The following is a 17,905-nucleotide window of genomic DNA, read 5'->3' on the forward strand; positions in this document are numbered from 1 at the left end:
CTGATTTAGGTTTTTAAAAGAGGGGTTTGGGGCTGGGCGTGGTGGCTCACACATGTAATCCCAGCATTTTGGGAGACTGAGGCAGGTGGATCACTTGAGGTCAGGGTTCAAGACCAGCCTGGCCAACATGGTGAGACACCGTCTCTACTAAAAATAAAAAAAATAAAATTAGCCAGGCGTGGTGGTGCGTGCCTGTAATCCCAGCTACTCGGGAGGCTGAGGTACGAGAATCACTTGAGCCTGGGAGGTGGAGGTTGTAGTCAGCCAAGATCGCGCCACTACACTCCAGCCTGGGCATAGAGCAAGACTCTGTCTCCAAAAAAAGAAAGAAGGAAGGAAGGAAGGAAGGAAGGAAGGAAGGAAGGAAGGAAGGAAGGAAGGAAGGAAGGAAGGAAGGAAGGAAGGAAGGAAGAAAAACAGAACTAAAGCTTGACCTGACTCTGTATAGCACCCCTCCACAAACATACACCATTTAGCTACAGCCCTAGCCCCCAAATCCGCTTCCCAGGTGGACCAGGAGGGCAAACAGACACCACCACTGCCACCCCAGCTCCCCAGTAGCGACCCTGACTCCTTCCCCATGGAGTAATTTTGAAACAGTCTCTGCTCTGTGTGTGGGTGGAGCAGATGGTCTCTGAGGCCCCTTTCTGCTCATAGCTGGAACAGGACCCAGCTGCTGAGATCCTGAATCTTGGCGAGGGTTTAATAGCAGGCAGTAAGGTAGTGACTGGCACCCACGCCCAGCCCAGACCGGAGAACTTGAGTGATCATGGTGCTGACTAGGGAGGACAGAGCAGCCAGGAAGGTGGGTGGGAGCCGGGGGAGAGCTCTTCCCCCGCTAGGGGGAGAGAAGGGGCTAGAGAGAGGGTGACAAACAGAGGCGTGTGAGCTCTCAGCGGTTATTGTAACAAATGCCACCAATGTAATGGCTTAGAACAGCACACACTTATCATCTTACCTTTCTACAGGTCAGGACTCTGAAATGAGTCTTATAGGCTAAAGGTGTCATCACAGCTGTGTTCCTGGTGGAGGCTCCAGGAGAGACCTCGTTTCCTGCCCCGTCCAGTGTCTAGAGGCAACCCATGTCCTGTTCTCCACCTTCACAGCCACAGTGCAGCCTCTTCCAGTCTCTCTCTGACTTTGTTCTTTTCTTTTGAGACGGAGTCTTGCTCTGTTGCCCAGGCTGGAGTGCACTGGCGCGATCTCGGCTCACTGTAACCTCCACCTCCAGGGTTCAAGCAATTCTTGTGGCAGGAGAATCGCTTGAACCCAGGAGGTGGAGGTTGCAGTGAGCCAAGATTTCGCCACTGCAAACCAGCCTGGGCAACAGAGCGAGACTCCATCTCAAAAAAAACAACAACAAAAAACCAGTCTAGGCAACATAGGGGACCCTGTTTCTACAAAACATTAAAAAGTTAGCCAGTGGGGGTACACACGTGTGGTCTTAACTTCTCAGGAAGCTGAGATGGGAAGATTGCTTGAGCCTAAAGGTCGAAGTTGCAGTGAGCTATGTGTGCACCACTGCACTCCAACCTGGGCCACAGAGCAAGACCTTGTCTCAAAAAAAAAAAAAAGAAAAAAAAAGAAAAAGAAAAAGAAAAAAGGAACTATACCCATCTTAGCATTGGGCTTTTTTTTGTTTTCTTTTGTTTTGTTTTGTTTTGTTTTTCTTTTTGTTTTGAGATGGAGTCTTGCTCTGTCACCTAGGCTGGAGTACAATGGTGCAGCAGCCTCCACTCACCACAACCTCTGACTACTGGGTTCAAGCGATTCTCCTACCCCAGCCTCCCAAATAGCTGGGATTACAGGCACCCGCCACCATGCCCGGCTAATTTTTTTTATTTTTAGTAGAGACGCGGGTTTCACCAGGTTGGCCAGGCTGGTCTTGAACTCCTGACCTCATAATCTGCCTGCCTTGGCCTCCCAAAGTGCTAGGATTACAGGCGTGAGCCACTGCACCCAGCAGTGTTGGTTTTAATACTTGCTTTCTATTTATTTAGTAGCTTTCCATGTAGTGGAGCAATATAAAATTTCCTTTTGAAGTAAAGATATGCATTAATATTTGGAAAGTGTTTTTGGAAAATGAACTTGTTTAAAGACAGTGTTTAAGTCAATAATGGTTACCGTACAGATGGGGAAAATTTTAGTCTAACAATGCCCAAAGTCACAAAGGACATTATTGGGTAATTGGTGAAATTTGCACATGGAATATAAAGTAGATAATAGTATTGTGTCCATATTTATTTTCTGAAGTAGATAAATGAATTCTGGTTGTGTAAGAGAGTATCCTAGTTCTTTTTTTTTTTTTTTTTTTTTAAGATGGAGTTTCACTCTGTTGCCCAGGCTGGAGTGCAGTGGCTTGATCTTGGCTCACTGCAATTTCTGTTTGAGTTCGAGACCAGCCTGGGCAACATAGGCAGACTGTGTCTCTAAAAAAAAATAATAATAATCCATTTTAAAAACAAACTATTTCAGACCGGGAGTGGTGGCTCACACCTGTAATCCCAGCACTTTGGGAGGCTGAGGCGGGCGGATCACGAGGTCAGGAGATTGAGACCATCCTGGCTAACATGGTGAAACCCCGTCTCTACTAAAAATACAAAAAATTAGCCAGGCGTGGTGGCGGGCGCCTGTAGTCCCAGTTACTCAGGAGGCTGAGGCAGGAGAATGGCGTGAACCCAGGAGGTGGAGCTTGCAGTGAGCCAAGATCGTGCCACTGCACTCCAGTCTGAGCAACAGAGCAAGACTCAATCTCAAAAAAATAAATAAATAAATACAATAAAATAAAAACAAACTATTTCAAGATAAAAAGTTGTGGGTTTGTTTGTTTTGAGACGGAGTTTTGCTCTTGTTGCCCAGGCTGGAGTCCAATGGCATGATCTCGGCTCACTGCAACCTCCACCTCCCGAGATCAAGTGATTCTCCTGCCTCATCCTCCCGAATAGCTGGGATTACAGGCACCCGCCACTGTGCCCGGCTAATTTTGTATCTTTAGTAGAGACAGGGTTTCTCCATGTTGGTCAGGCTGGTCTCGAACTCCCGACCTCAGGTGATCCGCCCACCTTGGCCTCCCAAAGTGCTGGGATTACAGGCGTGAGTCACCGCACCCAGCCAAAAGTTTTTTCTTTAACTTGCCGATTCCGAGTACTGGTGAGGATGGGAAGTGGGGGAGTGGTGGAAATATGAAGAGGCCAACCACTTTGGAAAATAATTTGACATTACCTGAAGCATTACTGGGTACAGTAGTTCAACTGTTAGAACAAGACAATTCCACAAATATCAGTGTCCTAAAAGTTTACATCTCACATAAGCAAAGAGTATGGAGGGTGAAGCTGTCCCAGAAGGCTCAGGCAAGTGGGAATTTAGCAATCCAGGCCCCTTCCTTCCTTCTCATGATGCCTCCATCCCAGCATGTGGCCTCCATCCCAACACGTGACCTCCATCTCAACATGTGGCCTCCACTCCCAATATGTGGCCTCCACTTTCAACATGTGGCCTCCATACCCATCAAGTGGCATCCATCTCAACGTGGGGCCTCCACTCACAAAATGTGGGCTTCCTCCCAACTTGTGGCTCTAAATCCCAAAATGTGCCCTTTGCTCCCAACATGTGGCCTCCATACCCATCATGTGGCCCCCACCTCAACATGTGGCCTCCACTAACAAAATGTGGGCTTCCTCCCAACTTGTGGCTCTCAATCCCAACATGGCTTTGGTGTACCTCTATTGGTCAGAACTAGTCACATGACCTCCACTAGATGAAAGGGTTGCTGGGAAATGTAATCTGTAGCACAGCAGCCACTTCCTGGTATCCACTTTACCCTGTGGGAAGGGAGCCTGAATCTTTAAACCACAACAGGCTGCCTCCATCACATTCAGTAAAGGTGCAAATGAACATGTCCTACAACCAGCAACTCATCTCCTGGATTTATGTCCCCCTGAGAAACTCCCACAAATGGACCCAGGATTCTGGTACAAGATTATTCAGAGCAGCCCTGCCTGCAATAGCAAAACCATGGAACTATTCACAAACATCCCTGAGTTAAAGACTTGATAAGTAGGCCGGGCATGGCAGCTCATGCCTGTAATCCCAGGAGCTCAAGACAGGTGGATCACCTGATGTCAGGAGTTCGAGACCAGCCTAGTCAACATAGTAAAACCCTGTCTCTACTAAAAATACAAAATATTAGCCAGGCGACGGGAGGCTGAGGCAGGAGAATGGCCCGAACCCAGGAGGTGGAGCTTGCAGTGAGCCGAGATTGCGCCACTGCACTCCAGCCTGGGCGACAGAGCGAGACTCCGTCTAAAAATATATATATAAATATATATATATTAGCCAGGCATGGTGGGGCACCTTTAATTCCAGCTACTCAGGAGGCTGAGGCATGAGAAGCGCTTGAACCCAGGAGGCAGAGGTTGCAGTGAGCCAAGATTGTGCCATTGCACTCCATCTTGGGCAACAAGAGCAAAACTCCATCTCAATAAATAAATAAATTTATTTATTTATTAAATAAAGACTCGTTAAGTAAATAGTGGATTCTCCTGCCTCAGCCTCCCTAGTAGCTCGGACTACAGGCACCCACAACCATACCTGGCTAATTTATTGTATTTTTAGTAGAGACAAGGTTTCACCATGTTGGCCAGGCTGGTCCTGAACTCCTGACCTCAAGTGATCCGCCTGCCTCAGCCTCCTAAAGTGCTGGGATTACAAGCGTGAGCCACCGCACCTGGCCTGTGTGGGTATAAGTTTTCAATGCATCTAGGTAAATACAAGGGGGCACAATTGTTGGATTATTTTGTTGTTTTTTTCTTTAAACCATATATGTATGTTATATATCCTCTTGTGAAGATATATTTCACAACAATCAATTTATTTTATTTTATTTTATTTTATTTTATTTATTTATTTGTTTATTTTTTTGAGATGGAGTCTCGTTCTGTCATCCAGGCTGGAGTGCAGTGGCACGATCTCGGCTCACTGCAACCTCCGCCTCCCGGGTTCACACCATTCTCCTGCCTCAGCCTTCCAAGTATCTGGGACTACAGGTGCCCGCCACCACACCTGGCTAATTTTTTGTATTTTTAGTAGAGACGGGGTTTCACCACGTTGGCCAGGATGGTCTTGATCTCCTGGCTGGTCAAGGCTGGTCTCAAACTCCTGACCTCAGGTGATCCACTGGCCTCTGCCACCCAAAGTGCTGGGATTACAGGCGTGAGCCACCGTGCCCGGCCTCCGTGTGTTGTTTGTAAATGAAGTTATGTGGATAAATTTTTATTGGCACACGGTCACACCCATTTGTTTGTAAGTTGTCTATGGCTACTTTTATGCTATAATGCAGCAATCTGCAAGCTTTTTGTCACCCAGGACCAGTTTTGTGCAAGACAATTTTATCACGGAGGTGTGGAATGGTTTCAGGATGATTCAAGCACATTACATTTATTGTTCACTATTTCTATTAGTATTACACTGTAATATATAATGAACTAATTATACAGCTCACATAATGTAGAATCAGGGAAAGCCCTCCCCTTGTTTTCCTGAAACTAGACTGTCCCAGCTGGGGGTGATGGGAGACAGTGACAGATCATCAGGTATTAGATTCTTTTTTTTTTTTTTTTTCAAATGGAGTCTCACTCTGTCACCCAGGCTGGAGTGCAGTGGTACGATCTCAGCTCACTGAAATCTCGGCCTCCTGGGTTCAAGCGATTCTCTTGCCTCAGCCTCCTGAGTCGCTGGGATTACAGGCGCGCACGACCATGCCCAGCTAATTTTTGTATTTTTTGTAAAGACAGGGTTTTACCATGTTGCCCAGACTGGTCTCCAACTCCTGACCTCAGATGATCCACCTGCCTTGGCCTCCCAAAGTGCTGGGATGACAGGCATGAGCCACCATGCCTGGCATCATCCAGCTAATTTTATTATAATAATAATAATAATTATTATTATTGGAAATGGGGTCTCCCTATATTGCCCAGGCTGCTTTCAAACACCCAGGCTCAAGTGATCCTCCCACCTCAGCCTCCCAAGCTGCTGGGATTCCAGGCGTGAGCCACTGTGCCTGACCATCACATCATCTTCCAAGGTGGGTTAATTCCATGACTTACTAGAAGAAGGGTTGCCAGATAAAATACAGGACACCCAGTTAAATCAGAATTTCAGATTAACGATGGATAAGTTTTTGGCATAAATATGTTCCAAATATTGCATATGATCGGATTATCCTAAAAATTATTCTTCATGTATCTGAAATTCAAATTTAAATGAGCCTCCTGTATTTTTATGTGCTAAATCTGGAGACTCTAATCTGGAAGTATCTCTTCAACTGAGCCTGTCTCATTCCTTCCTCCAAAAAAAAGTTCGAGAAAAGTTTTCATTAAGTGGCATTATGTCATTTCTACTGCCTCCTCTACCTAAATCCAATAACCTCAAATGGGTATTCTAAGGTTATTGGTTATTAACCTTTTATTTCACTCATTCTTTTCTCCTCCTCCTCCTCCTCCCCCTCCTCTTCCTCCTCCTTCTTCTTCTCCTTCTTCTTCTTCTTTTTTTTCTTTTCTTTTTTTTTTTTTTTGAGACAGGGTCTTGCTCTGTCACCCAGGCTGGAGTGCAGTGCTGCAATCATAGCTCACTGCAGCCTCAATCTCCTGGCTGGAGCAATCATCACACCTTGGCCTCCCAAAATGCTAGGATAATCCTGGGGCCTCTCTCCTTGGCTTCTAGATGGCTGTCCACCAGCCATCTACATCTGGTGGTCAGCCACCACCCCCAGCCGCTGTTTTCCATCAGTCCATTCTAAGGTTCAAAGGTTTAAAATCTGTCCATCTAGCTCAGAACTCAGATGTATTTTCTTCAACATCACAGCGGAGATTACTCTGGTCCAGCGGGGAGGAGGTTCTCTGCCCACCCCCTTCTTTCCTTCCTTCTTGAAGGCTGAGACCGAGGAGGGAAAAAAGGAAAGATAAAGAGGGATCTTACTGTTATGGCTTGAATTGTATTCTCTAAAAAGATGTGTTGCAGACAGGGCATGGTGACTCACATCTATAATCTCCGCACTTTGGGAGGCCAAGGAGGGAGTATCGCTTGAGGTCAGGAGTTTGAGACCACCCTGGCCAACACCACGAGTCCCTGTCTCTACAAAAAAAAAAAATATATATATATATATATATATAAAATAATAATAAAAGATAAGTTACAGACCCCCTCGTCCCTCAGAATGTGACCTTGCTTGGAAATAGTCTCTTTTTCTTTTCTTTTCTTTTTCTTTTTTTTTTTTTTGAGACAGAATCTCACTTTGTCATCCAGACTGGAGTACAGTGGTGCAATCATAGCTCACTGCAGCCTCAACCTCCTGGGTTCAAGCCATCCTCCCACCTCAGCCTCGTTAGTGGTGACGACAGGTGTGCACCACCACACTCAGCTAATGTTTCTGAATTTTTTGTAGAGATGAGGTTTCGCCATGTTACCCAAGCTGGCCTTGAACTCTTGGGCTTAGGTGATCTGCCCACCATGGCCTCCCAAAGTGCTGGGATTATAGGTACGAGCCACTGTGTGGAAACAGGGTCTTTAGAAAGGTAATGGAGTTAAAATGATGGCCGGGCGTGGTGGTTCACGCCTGTTATCCCAGCACTTTGGGAGGCCGAAGTGGGTGGATTACCTGGCGTCAGGAGTTCAAGACCAGCCTGACCAACATGGCAAAAGCCTGTCTCTACTAAAAATACAAAAATTAGCCGGGCGTGGTGGCAGGTGCCTGTAATTCCGGCTACTCGGGAGGCTGAGGCAGGAGAATCGCTTGAACCCAGGAGGTGGAGGCTGCAGTGAGTCCAGATCATGCCATTGCACTCCAGCCCGGAAAAGAAGAGCAAATCTAAACAACAACAACAACAAATAAGTTATTAGGGCAGGTCCTTGTCCTCCATGACTAGTGTCCTTATAAAAAGGGAAAATGGCTAGGCACAGTGGCTCATGCCTGTAATCCCAGCACGTTGGGAGGCCAAGGTGGGGGGCGGATCACCTGAGGTTGGGAGTTTGAGACCAGCCTGGCCTCCCAACGTGCTGGGATTGCAGGCTTGAGCCACAGTGCCTGACTAGAAGTGTTAATTTTGAGGAGTGAGACATCTAGGTGGGTAAGACAAAGCTGGGAGGCATCCAGGTACCTACACACGTATTTAAAGCCATGCAGCTGGATGACATTTCTGAGGGGTCGTGGATAAAGAAGAACAGGCTGGGTGCAATGGCTCACATCTGTAATCCCAGCACTTTGGGAGGCCGAGGCGGGTGGATCACCTAAGGTCAGGAGTTTGAGACCAGCCTGGCCAACATGGTGAAACCCTGTCTCTACTAAAAATACAAAAATTAGCTGGGTGTGGTGGCACGCGCCTGTAATCTCAGCTACTCTGGAGGCTGAGACAGGAGAATTGCTTGAACCCGGGAAGTGGAGGTTGCAGTGAGCCAAGATCTCACGACTGCACTCCAGCCTGGGTGGTAGAGTGAGACTCCATCTGGAAAAAAAAAAAAAAAAAAAGAAGATTAAAGACTGAGCCCTGGGGCTCTCTAAGACAGAAGGGTCTCTTAAAGGACCAATCTGATGAGAGGGAAAAAATCTTTCGTCACAAAGAAAACATCCATTTACAGGAGACTAGTTAACTAAATTATGGGTTTTGATATCGACATGGAATGCTCCACAGGCATTAAAAAAAAAGATGACAAAAGCTCTGAGTCACCATTTGGATTCTCCAGAACAGATCCTGAGAAATAATTTGGGGTGTGAGATTTTTATTGGGAATTCACAGTTGTCAAAGAAAGAAGCACGGCAGGCTGGGCATGGTGGCTCAAGCCTGTAATCCCAGCACTTTGGGAGGCCGAGGCGGGTGGATCATGAGATCAGGAGTTTGAGACTAGCCTGGCCAATATGGTGAAAACCTGTCTCTACTAAAAATACAAAAATTAGCTGGGTATGGTGGCGGGTGCCTGTAGTCCCAGCTACTCCAGAGGCTGAGGCAGAAAAATTGCTTGAACCCAGGAGGCGCGGGTTGCAGTGAGCTGAGATAGCACCACTGCACTCCAGCCTGGGCAACAGAGCGAGACTCCATCAAGAAGAAGAAGGAGAAGAAGAAGGAGGAGGAGGAAGAAAGAAGAAGAGGAAGAAGAGGAGGAGGAGGAGGAAGAGGAAGAAGAAGAAGAAAGAAAGAAGGAAGAAGGAAGAAGAAGAAGAAGGAGGAGGAGGAGGAGGAGAGCTAGGCTTGGTGGCTCATGTCTGTAATCCCAGCGCTTTGAGAAGCAGAGGCAGGTGGATGGCTTGAGCCTAGAGTTTGAGATCAGCCTGGGCAACATAGGGAGCCCCCATCTCTACAAAATAAAAGAAAGAAAGAGAGAGAGAGAAAGAAGAAAGGAAAAGAGGGAGGGACAGAAGGAGGGAGGGAAGGAAGGAGGGAGGGAGGGAGAGAAGGAAGGAAAGAAGGAAGGAAGGAAAGAAGGAAGGGAGGAAAGAAGGAAGGAAGGAAGGAAAGAAGGAAGGAAGGAGGGAGGGAAGGAAGGAAGGAAGGAAAGAAGGAAGGAAGGAAAGGAAGGGAGGGAGGAAGGGCAGACAGAACTGGGCAAAGGGAGAAGTTAAAGTGGTATTGAGCATGGACAAAGCCTTGGCTAATCGGCGAGGGACTCTGGAGCCAGTGAGCCCCATCAGAGCATCCCACATGAAGTCAGAATACCCAGGCCTTTATTCCTCTGCCTCACCCAGTCACTGGCTGTGGGCTGCCCTGGGACAGATGAGACTCTGAGGGAGGTGGCTCTCTGCACCTGAAGGTGATCCTAAACATGGAAGCTGGAGGTTTCTGCTCACCATACATCCCTTGGCTGGGCAGTAAGTCCCTTCTTAAAAGGGGATCTGGGGGCTGGGCATGGTGGTTGGCGCCTGTAATCCCAATACTTTGGGAAGCCGAGATGGAACAATCACTTGACCCCAGGAGTTCAAGACCAGCTCAGGCAACATAGCAAGACCTCGTCTCTACCAAAAATACAAAAAGTAGCCCAGTGCGGTGGTGCATGCCTGTGGTCCCAGCTATTCTGGAGGCTAAGGCAGGAGGATCGCTTGAGTCCAGGAGTTTGAGGCTGCAGTGAGCCATGACTGCACTACCGCACTCCAGCCTGGGTGACAAAGTGAGACCCTGCCCTGTGTCAAAAGAAAAAGGAAAGAAGGGAAGGGAAGGAGAGGGGAGGGGAGGGAAGGGTCCGGGCGTGGTGGCTCATGCCTGTAATCCCAGCACTTTGGGAGGCTGAGGCAGGTGGATCACAAGGTCAAGAGATCGAGACCATCCTGGCCAACATGGTGAAACCCCGTCTCAACTAAAAATATAAAAAATTAGCTGGCACCAACATGGCACATGTATACATATGTAACAAACCTGCACGTTGTGCACATGTACCCTAAAACTTAAAGTATAATAATAATAAAATTAAAAAAAATTAGCTGGGCATGGTGGCGCATGCCTGTAATCCCAGGTACTCGGGAGGCTGAGGCAGGAGAATCACTTGAACCTGGGAGGCGGAGGTTGCAGTGAGCCGAGATCGTGCCGCTGCACTCCAGCCTGGGTGACAGAGCAAGACTCCGTCTCAAGAAAAAAGAAAGAAGAGAAAAGAAAGGAAGGAAGGAGGGAGGGAGGGAGGGAAGGAGGGAGGGAGAGAGGGAGGGAGGCAGGGAGGGAAGGATGGAAGGAAGGAAGGAAGGAGAAGAAAAAAGAGGATGTGGGTGCTGCAGAAGGAACACTCCATGAAAGCGGGGGTTGTTCTCTGTTTTCTTTGCATTTGTTTGCTTTCTTTTATAGGAACAAAAACAACAGGAGCTGTACCCCAATGCTGTGTACATAGTAAATGCTCAGTAAATATCAATGGAATAAATAAACAAATTTCCTGGCTCCTCGGCAGCCAGGTGTGGCCATGTGAGCAGATCTGAGCCAATAGAGAATTTGTGTGTCAGAATCACCCTACCAACTCTGGATGCCAACCTCCAGACTGTGACTGGGAGAGAAAGTCATGTCTATCTTGTCAGTCATTGGTATTTCTCTCCCTCACAGTCATACCTAACTATATAATTAAACCAGTGAAGGCACTCAATAAATATGAGTTATAGGCCGGGTGTGGTGGCTCACGCCTGTAATCTCAGCACTTTGGGAGGCTGAGGCGGGCGGATCACGAGGTCAAGAGATCGAGACCATCCTGGCCAACATGATGAAGCCCCGTCTCTACTAAAAATACAAAAAATTAGCCGGGCCTGGTGGCGGGCACCTGTTGTCCCAGCTACGCAGGAGTCTGAGGCAGGAGAATCACTTGAACCTGGGAGGTGGGGGTTGCAGTGAGCCGAGATTGCGCCATTGCATTCCAGCCTGGGCAAAAAGAGTGAAACTCCGTCTCAAAAAATAAAAATAATAATAATAATAAATAAATAAGAGTTACAATCCATAATATGGATACTTGATAATTTGGCTTAAAATTTGGCCAGGCGTGGTGGCTCATGCCTGTAATCCCAGCACTTTGAGAGGCTGAGGCAGGAGGATCGTTTGAGATCAGGAGTTTGAGTTCTGCCTGGACAACATAGCAAGACCCGGCCCTTACCAAAAAAAAAAAAGAAATTAGCCAGGTGTATTGTATGCACATGTGGTCCCAGCTACTCAGGAGGCTGACGCAGGAAGATCGCTTGAGCCTGGGAGGTCAAGACTGCAGTGAGCTGTGATTGCGCTACTGCACTCCAGCCTGGGTGACAGAGTGAGATGCTGTCTCCAAAAATTAAATAATAAAATAATTTTAAAATTTAAACCCTTAGGCCGGGTGTGGTGGCTCATGCCTGTAATCCCAGCACTTTGGGAGGCCGAGGCGGGTGGATCACAACGCCAGGAGATCAAGACCATCCTGGCTAACACGGTGAAACCCCATCTGTACTAAACATACCAAAAATTAGCCGGGCTTGGTGGTGGGCGCCTGTCGTCCCAGCTACTCGGGAGGCTGAGGCAGGAGAATGGCGTGAACCTGGGTGGCGGAGCTTGCAGTGAGCCGAGATCACACCACTGCACTCCAGCCTGGGCGACAGGGCAAGACTCCATCTCAAAAAAAAAAAAAAAAAATTCAAGCCATTTAAGTAGTCCCCTCTTACAAGGCATTTATTTGCAATTCTTTGCTAACGTGGCCATGAGAGACTATCTCCAGAGACAGCCGCCATCACTTTCCATCCTGTTATGCCCCTGCCACTCCTCCGCCGAGTCTATTTCATCTCCTCTTCCCCTTGAATTTGGGTTGGGCTATGTGACTTGCTCTGACCAATGGAATGTGGCAGAAGAGCTACCATGTGACTTCCAAGCCAAGCATTTAAGAAGACAAGTAGCTTTTGCTAACTCTCTCTGAAGTCAGTTGCCATATGGGGAATAAAGACCACCATACCATGAGGGAGCCCAAACAGCCATGTGGAGAGAGAGATGACTCACTGGGGCTCCAGATATGTGAGTGGAGAATGTTCCACTTGTGGATATTCCAGCCCCAGAAAATCCTAGCTGAGCCCAGTGCAGATTCTCAAATTATGAGAAATGATAAGCTGTGGTTGTTTCAAACTCCTAAGTTTAGGGGCGGTTTGTTACACAGCACTAACTAACTGAAACACAGGTGTATGAACAACTCTGCCATAAGCTACTTTGGGGTCAAATCTTAGTGCACAGGTGCACACCTTTGATCATTTCCTAAAAACAAATAACTGGAAGTGGGTTCTGTGAATTTGAAATTTGGTGTCAACTTTGTTCCCAGAGAAGCTGTAGCAATGTCCATGAGCCATTCATTGGTGCATCCAGCATTTCATCCACAGCCTCTTCAGCACTGAGAGTTTCCTTTTCTTTTCCTAATTTTCAATTTCTATCATTTCAATAGGCCCATTTGCATTCATTCCAGAGAAGGTAACAGTGATGACAGCTTCTCTCTGATCATGGAGTGATAACCAAAAACCAGTAGGGCAGGTTGATTTGGAGCCAAGAGCCAAAATACTCATTCATTCAGAACTTACTGAGCAAGGTTTGGAGGAATGAAAACAACACATTAAATATTTATGGAGTCCTGGTGTGGTGGCTCACATCTGTAATCCCAGCACCAAGAGGCCGAGGCAGGTGTGAGGATCATTTGAGGCCATGAGTTCAACACCAGCTTGGACAACATAAGAGAAATTCTGTCTCTATAAAAACAGAAACAAAAATTAGCTGGGCGTGGTGGCTTGCGCCTATAGTCTCAGCTGCTTGGCAAGCTAAGGTGGGAGGATTGCTTGAACCCAGGAGGTCAAGGCTGCAGTGAGCCATGTTCACACCACTGTACTCTAGTCTGAGTGACAAGGCAAGACTCTACTTCAAAAAAAAAAGGAGACAAACTCACCTTCAACTCTTTCCCTCTGTTGACATCTCAGCGCTTTGGGAGGCCAAGGTAAGAGGGTTGCTTGACTCCAGGAATTTGAAACCAGCCTGGACAGCATAGTGAGACTCTGCCTCTACAAAATAAAAATAAATAAATAAAGTTGTTTTTCTTCTATTTCAGATCACTATCCACTTTAAGTCGTGGTTCTTGGCTGGGCATGGTGGCTCACACCTGTAATCCCAGCACTTTGGGAGGCAGAGGCAGGTGGATCACCTGAGGTCAGGAGTTCAAGACCAGCTTGACCAACATGCTGAAACCCCATCTCTACTAAAAATACAAAATTAGCCTGGCGTGGTGGCACGTGCATGTAATCCCAGCTACTTGGGAGGCTGAGGCAGGAGAATTGCTTGAACCTGCAAGGGAGAGGTGGCAGTGAGCTCAGATCACACCATTGCACTCCGGCCTAGGCAACAAGAGCGAAACCCCATCTCATAAAATAAAATAAATACAATAAAATAATAAAATAAAATAAAATAAATAAAATAAAATAAAACAGTGGTTCTCAGGCCAGCTGTGATGGCTCACACCTGTAATCTCAGCACTTTGGGAGGCCGAGGTGGGCAAATCACCTGAGGTCAGGAGTTTGAGACCAGCCTGGCCAACACGGTGGAACCCCATCTCTACTAAAAATACAAAAATTAGCCAGGCATGGTGGTTCATGCCTGTAGTCCCAGCTACTCAGGAGTTTGAGGCAGGAGAATCACTTGAACCCAGGAGGTGGAGGCTGCAGTGAGCCAAGATCACACCACTGCACCCCAGCCTGGACAACAGAGCAAGAGACCATCTCAAAAATAAAATAAAATAAAATAAAATAAATAAGTAAATAAATAAATAAATAGTGATTCTCAGCTGGGAGCGACTCTGCCCCCTGGAGGATACTTGGCAATGTCTGAGATACTTTTTACTGTTAGGGGGGCATTTTTTTTAATTGATGGGGGTAGGGGTGGGGGTGCTCCTGTTATCGAGTGGGTGGAGGCCAGAGATGCTGCTCAGCACCCTACAGTGGCCTGGGTGGCCTTTTGTACTTTCAAAGAATTCTCCAACTCAGATTTTCAATCGTGCCAAAGTTGAAAAACCCTACTTTAAGTGAAATGCAATAGAACAGGATCAAATAGAATAGAAAATATCAAAGGACATTGCTCAAATAATAAGTTTCATTTTATAAGACTTTTGTATTTTTGTGTACTCAGACACTATGTAAGATATGTTTCTCCTTGTGAGCCCTAATCAAAAAGGTTTAATGGGCTGAGTGCAGTGGCTCACGCCTGTAATCCCAGCACTTTGGGAGGCCAAGGCAGGAGGATTGCTCAAGCTCAGGAATTTGAGACCAGCCTCAGCAACATATCGATACCTTGTCTCTACAACAAAAACTTTAAAAACAGGAGAAGTGTCACTCCCTCTCCCTCTCCCTCTCCCCCCTCTCCCTTTCCCCACGGTCTCCCTCTCCCTCTCTTTCCACGGTCTCCCACTGATGCCGAGCCGAAGCTGGACTGTACTGCTGCCATCTCGGCTCACTGCAGCCTCCCTGCCTGATTCTCCTGCCTCAGCCTGCCGAGTGCCTGTGATTGCAGGCGCGCGCCACCACGCCTGACTGGTTTTCGTATTTTTTTGGTGGAGACGGGGTTTCGCTGTGTTGGCCGGGCTGGTCTCCAGCTCCTAAGTGCGAGTGATCCGCCAGCCTCGGCCTCCAGAGGTGCCGGGATTGCAGACGGAGTCTGGTTCACTCAGTGCTCAATGGTGCCCAGGCTGGAGTGCAGTGGCGTGATCTCGGCTTGCTACAACCTCCACCTCCCAGCCGCCTGCCTTGGCCTCCCAAAGTGCCGAGATTGCAGCCTCTGCCCGGCCGCCACCCTGTCTGGGAAGTGAGGAGCGTCTCTGCCTGGCCGCCCATCGTCTGGGACGTGAGGAGCCCCTCTGCCTGGCTACCCAGTCTGGAAAGTGAGGAGCGTCTCTGCCTGGCCACCACCCCATCTAGGAAGTGAGGAGCGCCTCTTCCCGGCCGCGACCCCATCTGGGAGGTGAGGAGCGTCTCTGCCCAGCCGCCCCGTCTGAGAAGTGAGGAGACCCTCCGCCTGGCAACCGCCCCATATGAGAAGTGAGGAGCCCCTCTGCCCAGCAGCCACCCCGTCTGGGAAATGAGGAGCGTCTCTGCCCGACAGCCACCCCACCCGGGAGGGAGGTGGGGGTCAGCCCCGCCAGGCCAGCCGCCCCGTCCGGGAGGGAGGTGGGGGGGGTCAGCCCCCCGCCCGGCCAGCCGCCCCGTCCGGGAGGTGAGGGGCGCCTCTGCCCGGCCACCCCTACTGGGAAGTGAGGAGCCCCTCTGCCCGGCCAGCCGCCCCGTCCAGGAGGGAGGTGGGGGGGTCAGCCCCCCACCCGGCCAGCCGCCCCGTCCGGGAGGGAGGTGGGGGGTTCAGCCCCCCGCCCGGCCAGCCGCTCCATCCGGGAGGGAGGTGGGGGGGTCAGCCCCCCGCCCGGCCAGCCGCCTCGGTCCGGGAGGTGAGGGGCGCCTCTGCCCGGCCACCCCTACTGGGAAGTGAGGAGCCCCTCTGCCCAGCCACCACCCCGTCTGGGAGGTGTACCCAATAGCTCATTGAGAACGGGCCATGATGACAATGGCGGTTTGGTGGAATAGAAAGGGGGGAAAGGCGGGGAAAGGATTGAGAAATCGGATGGTTGCCATGTCTGTGTAGAAAGAGGTAGACACGGGAGACTTTTCATTTTGTTCTGTACTAAGAAAAATTCTTCTGCCTTGGGATCCTGTTGATCGGTGACCTTACCCCCAACCCTGTGCTCTCTGAAACATGTGCTGTGTCCACTCAGGGTTAAATGGATTAAGGGCGGTGCAAGATGTGCTTTGTTAAACAGATGCTTGAAGGCAGCATGCTGGTTAAGAGTCATCACCACTCCCTAATCTCAAGTACCCAGGGACACAAACACTGCGGAAGGCCGCAGGGTCCTCTGCCTAGGAAAACCAGAGACCCTTGTTCACTTGTTTATCTGCTGACCCTCCCTCCACTATTGTCCTATGACCCTGCCAAATCCCCCTCTGCGAGAAACACCCAAGAATGATCAATAAAAAAATAAATAAAATAAATAAATAAATAAATAGACTGGACACCCTACTACCCATACCCAGTTTAAGATACAGATTACAACCAACACCGTTAAAGCCCTTTTGCATGCCCTTCTCCATCCCAGCCCCCTCCTAAATTTTGTTTATAATGATCTCGCTTTTCTTCATAATTTTACCTCCAAAATATGCATCTGTAAACAATATGCTGTTTTTGCAAGCTTTTGAACATTATATAAAATAAATCATACTGCATGTAAAAAAAAAAAAAAACTTTAAAAACATTAGCAGGTCCTGTTGGCGTGTGCCTGTGGTCCCAGCTACTTGGTAGACTGAGGTTGGGAGGATTCACCTGAGTCCAGAAGTATGAGGCTGCAGTGAGCTATGCACCAGAGCCAAACAAGATAGCAGAATGTTCTGCAGACAATAGAAAAAGAAACAAATGAATTAATGCAATTGTTTATGATGAAAGTCACACCAAGATGAAAATTAAACAAGGCAAATGTTCTAGAGTGCCTGGGATATTAGCAAAGGTGTTCAGGGAAGGCTTCTCTCAGGGATGACATCTGAGCTGAGACTTTTTTTTTTTTTTTTTTTTGAGATGGAGTCTCGCTCTGTCGCCCAGGCTGGAGTGCAATGGTGTAATCTTGGCTCACTGCAACTTCTGCCTCCCGGGTTCAAGCGATTCTCCTGCCTCAGTCTCTCCCAAGTAGCTGGGACTACAGGCGCAGGCCACCATGCCTGGCTAATTTTTGTATTTTTAGTTGAGACGGGGTTTCACCACGTTGGTCAGGCTGGTCTTGAACTCCTGACCTCAGGTGAGCCGCCCGCCTCCGCCTCCCAAAGTACTGGGATTACGGCCGTGAGCCACTCTGCCTGGCTTGACTCCAAGCAGAGTAAAGCAGAGGCTTTGTGGCTGGATTGAGCTTGATGTGTTTGGGGTGTGAAAAGCAGACCAGGGTAGGGAAGGAGATAAGGGGGGTCAGCAGGGGGGACGGGGAACCGCAGTTCAATTTAGGTTTCTCAGCCAAGCGCGGTGGTTCACACCTGTAATCTGAGGACTTTGGGAGGCTGACGCACATGGATCATTTGAGGTCAGGAGTTCGAGACCAGCCTGGCCAACATGGTGAAACCCCATCTCTACTAAAAATACAAAACTTATCTGGGCGTGATGGTGGGTGCCAGCTACTCAGGAGGTCGAGGCCCGAGAATCGCTTGAACCGGAGAGGCAGAGGCTTCAGTGAGCCGAGATCGCTTCACTGCACTCCAGCCTGGATGACAGAGTGAGACCCCGTCTCAAAAAAAAAAAAAAATTAGCTTTTTTGGGGATCTCTTAGAGTGAAGAATAGTGAAGAAGAGACAGTAGGTCACAGTGACGTGGGTGATACTGGAGCACCTGTTAGG

General features: G+C 48.5%; 1 protein-coding gene across 1 annotated transcript in view; it reads right to left on the reverse strand.

The window, feature by feature from the left end:
• The window catches only part of ACER1 (alkaline ceramidase 1), a 54,227-nt gene that overhangs the window by 33,822 nt on the left and 2,500 nt on the right, over window positions 1-17,905 (reverse strand). The window contains exon 2 of the mRNA XM_011527673.3: window positions 13,393-13,504. The gene's annotated coding sequence lies outside the window, so the exon portion shown is untranslated. The remainder of the gene's footprint in view (window positions 1-13,392; window positions 13,505-17,905) is intronic.

Source organism: Homo sapiens, chromosome 19, assembly GCF_000001405.40.
Source record: "Homo sapiens chromosome 19, GRCh38.p14 Primary Assembly".
Classification (NCBI taxonomy): domain Eukaryota; kingdom Metazoa; phylum Chordata; class Mammalia; order Primates; family Hominidae; genus Homo; species Homo sapiens.